This window comes from Homo sapiens, chromosome 6 (genome assembly GCF_000001405.40).
Source record: "Homo sapiens chromosome 6, GRCh38.p14 Primary Assembly".
In the NCBI taxonomy this organism is placed as follows: Eukaryota; Metazoa; Chordata; class Mammalia; order Primates; family Hominidae; genus Homo; species Homo sapiens.
Genome location: NC_000006.12, coordinates 126,577,781 through 126,581,998, shown reverse-complemented (window position 1 = coordinate 126,581,998; position 4,218 = coordinate 126,577,781).

Sequence of the window (4,218 nt, the reverse complement as noted above, 5' to 3'; positions counted from 1 at the left end):
CACAAAAAAATGAAGAAGAAGAAGAAGAAGAAGAAGGAGGAGGAGGAGGGGGAGGAGGAGGGGGAGGAGGAGGGGGAGGAGGAGGAGGAGGAGGAGGGGTTCAATCAAGAAGACAATCTAGACTCAAGAAATCAGAAACACTATTTATTAGACATGTGTAATACCTAATAAATAATGTACTAGGCAACAAAATGTTAGCTAATACCACAACTTGATAAAATTCATTATATCTTCTAAGTATATAACCAAGTATATATATACTTCATCACTCATATATATATACTTCATGATGTAAAGTATATAGATATGTGTATATATATACACTTCAGTGCTATGTATACTTCATCACTCATATATATGAGAGAAAGAGAGAGGGAAGGAGAGAGGAAAAGAGAGAAAGAAAGAAAGAGAAAGAAAGAAAGAAAAGAAAAGAAAAAGAGAGAAAGAAAGAAAAGAAAGAGAAGGAAAGAAAAAGAAAGAAGAAAGAAAGAAAAGAAAGAAAGAAAAAGAAAGGAAGAAAGGAAGGAAGGAGAGAGAGAAAGAAAGTGAGCTGAAAAACAAAAGGAAAGAGGAAGGAAAGGAAGGAAGGTGAGAGAGAAAGAGAGTGGGAAGGAGAGAAGGAGGGAGGGAAACAAAGCACCACTGTAGGAATCAGTGGATGAGATTTGTTAGTTTTGAGTAATTTTTTTACTTAATTATTTTTTCAAGAGCTGGGGTCTTGCCATGTTGCCCAGGCTGGTGTGCAAGGGCTATACACAGGCATAATTATCATAACCCACTGTAGCCTTAAACTCCTGGCCTGAAGCAATCCTCTTGCCTCAGCTTCCTGAGTAGCTGGGACTACAGGCGTATGCCATCACACCCAGCTTAATTTTTTATAAGAAAAAAAAATAGCTCTCACAAATTACTACAACTTTCTGCTCTCCATAAATTGTTTTATTTATAACTATGACAATGCATTTAATTCTATTTCTCACCGCAAGTAACAAAATCACCCCAAATAATAAAAATTCTGGTTTTCTTCATGATCTTAGAAATATTCTTTAGTTGCCTAAAGAATATGTGTGTGTGTGTTTTATATATATATATATATATATCACATATATAAAACACTTGGAACCAAAGAAAACATGGATTTGTGGTTCAAAGTGGTTAAAATCAGAAAGCCTGAAGCATAAGCTTAAAATTAGAAAAAGTAAACAAGATAATTAGATAAATCCAGAACAATCTGAGATCATCAAGGATTATGACAAACATGTGGTTGGTCTTGAGGCTACCCACTATGTACTTGATGACAACAAGGATAACATCACTATTCCAGCCACAGTTAGAGTTAGAAGAAAGTAGTAGCCCTCTGTCTTTAAATTATACCGTGTATGTAGATACTAATATGAACTGTATTATTATTGAGGAGATGCACGTGAACCCAAATTTTGCCGAAGGACCCTGAGCAATAGTTGAATAAAGTCATTACATCTACCGAATGGCAAAATTTCAGTTATACACGATGAATAAGTTCTAGAGAGCTGCTATACAACATTGTGCTTATAGTTAACAACACTATATTGTGCACTGGAAAATGTGTTAAAAGGGTAGATCTCATGCCAGTCAGAATGGAGATTATTAAAAGTCAAGAAACAACAGACGCTGGTGAGGTTGTGGAAAAAAATGCTTTTACACTGTTGGGAGTGTAAATCAGTTCAACCATTGTGGAAGACAGTGTGGTGATTCCTGAAAGATCTAGAAGCAGAAATACCATTTGACCCAGAAATCCCATTATTAGGTATTTACCCAAAGGAATATAAGGAATTCTATTTTAAAGATACATGCATGCATATGTTCATTGCAGCACAATTCACAATAGCAAAGACATGGAATCAATCCAAATGCCCATCAATGAAGAAAATGTGGTACATATACACCATGGAATACTATGCAGCTGTAAAAAAAAAAACAAGATCATGTCTTTTGCAGGGACACGGATGGAGCTGGAAGCCATTATCCTCAGCAAACTAACACAGGAAAAGAAAACCAAATACCACATATTCTCACTTATAAGTGCTTATAAGTGGGAGATGAACAACGAGAACACATGGACACATGGAGGGGAACAACACACACTGGAACCTGTCAGGGGGTATGAGGGGAGGGAGAGGATCAGGAAGAATAGCTAATGGATTCTGGACATAATACTTAGGTGATGGATTGATCCGTGCAGCAAACCGCCATGTCACACCTTTACCTATGTAACAAAAGGGCACATCCTGAACATATACCCCAGAACTTAAAATAAAAGTTGAAGAAAACAAATCTGTAAAGATATATCTAAAGAATACAGAAAATGATGTTCATTTTTAACATCCCAAAAGATGTTTTTTTAAAAAGTCAGATTGAAGACATTCACTTGTCAAATAATGGTAGAAGCATATTCAAGGTAAATAAAGGTTGGGAAGAATTAAATCTACAACAATAAATTTTTTTAAAGGGTAGATCTCATGTTAAATGGTTTTACCTCAATAAAAAATCTACAATCATATTTAAAATTTCATTATGCCCATATTGAAGGAAAATAGCCATAATTTCCAAGACTATTAATCTCCTTCTCTGTTGAGTCTTTTTTTTTTTTTCCTTACCTTACGATGTTGGAGTAACCAGGACTTATTTTGCAGACCTCATTGTTTTTCTCTCCTTTGGTCATCTCTTTCAGTCTCATTGCTTCAAATATATGTAGTATTTAAGCTCTCAAATTTATACTCTCAATCTATATCTCTCCCATGAACTACATATTTGAGCAAAGCATTGAACTAAAATTTATGAAATCTAGACCCTAGACCTCATTTTAGAAAGAAAAATAATTCTAAACCCGTATCTCTTACTGCTCCTTCAACTAAAATAATTTAATTATGGCCAATAAACTATAAAGTTTAGGTCCAAATTTCATGGCATCACTTAAAATTTCCTTCAAAATCTGGCCCTTGTCTACCTTTATAAGCTGGTCTACCAATTTATACAACAGGTACCCTTTGCATATCTGGCCTTCACAATACATTTACAGTTTCCTAATGTTATAATGATCTTCCTACCTTCATACAGTGTCCTCTGCTTGAAACTCTCTTTCCTAGTTGTTTTTCAGTCTTTAAGAATCAGTGCAATAGTAGTGGAAGCAAGGGTAATTAATACTTCCTTTTAAAATAATTTTTTGCTATTTTTTATTGTGAATAATACTAATTGCATAACATACAAGAACACATTGTAGGTTCATATAAATGAGCATATATTCCATGAAGCTTAAAATCCTCTGTCTCTCCTTATGATGGTATTTAGCATGTTTCTATGCTTCTTTATCTTATCTATATTTTTAATATACTGTATATCACCAAGGTAAAGAATCTCACTCCATCTTTATAGTGCCTGCTTAATATGGTTCCTGGTTGCCATTCTATAGCAAACATTTAAATAGGTTTCTGTTTAAAAATTTAGCCTCTATAGATTCAAAACTAATACAATGTATCTCAAATAATTCCTCTTGTATCTGTTTTTAGTTTCAATTAGTAGGAACAAAAGGTATCTTTAATACATTTTTCTATTTTTCTTTTCTTCAGACTCCTTATGTCTGAAATAATGATAATTTATTATGGATATTACTGTACATAATTTTGAGGGTTTTTTTTAAATTAAACTTTGAGATGGCAATGTTGACATTCAGCTTTTAATTCATCCTTACATGATATGACACAATCTTAGATAAAACTTTTTGAGTTACTCATATCCAAAAAAGAAACTAAACAATTAAAAATTAAAATCATTGCTTAAGGTTATTTTGATGTTATAAATATGAATACACAAACAACTTTTATAAGATTTTAATACCACAATCTTATTCTGCCTTATATTAAAATGTAATTTTGTAAAACGTTTTTGGCTCAAATATGTTTACAAAACTATCTAACATTCCTTGTCCTACGATATGTCCTGTGAAGTTATTTTCACACATTTCATTTTTTGTCCATTTTTAATAATTGCTTATATATTTGCTTAATAGTTTTAATCATCAGTAACTATCGGCACCAGTTTTTCATTGTGCTAATAAAATAGCATTTATATTTTTGTTGAATGACAGCATTTAAACATATAAAGCACATACAGAAATTTATACTCAAAGTTATATATGGAATCCTTACCTGTATATTAAAATGATTTTTTAACACTTAATTGATT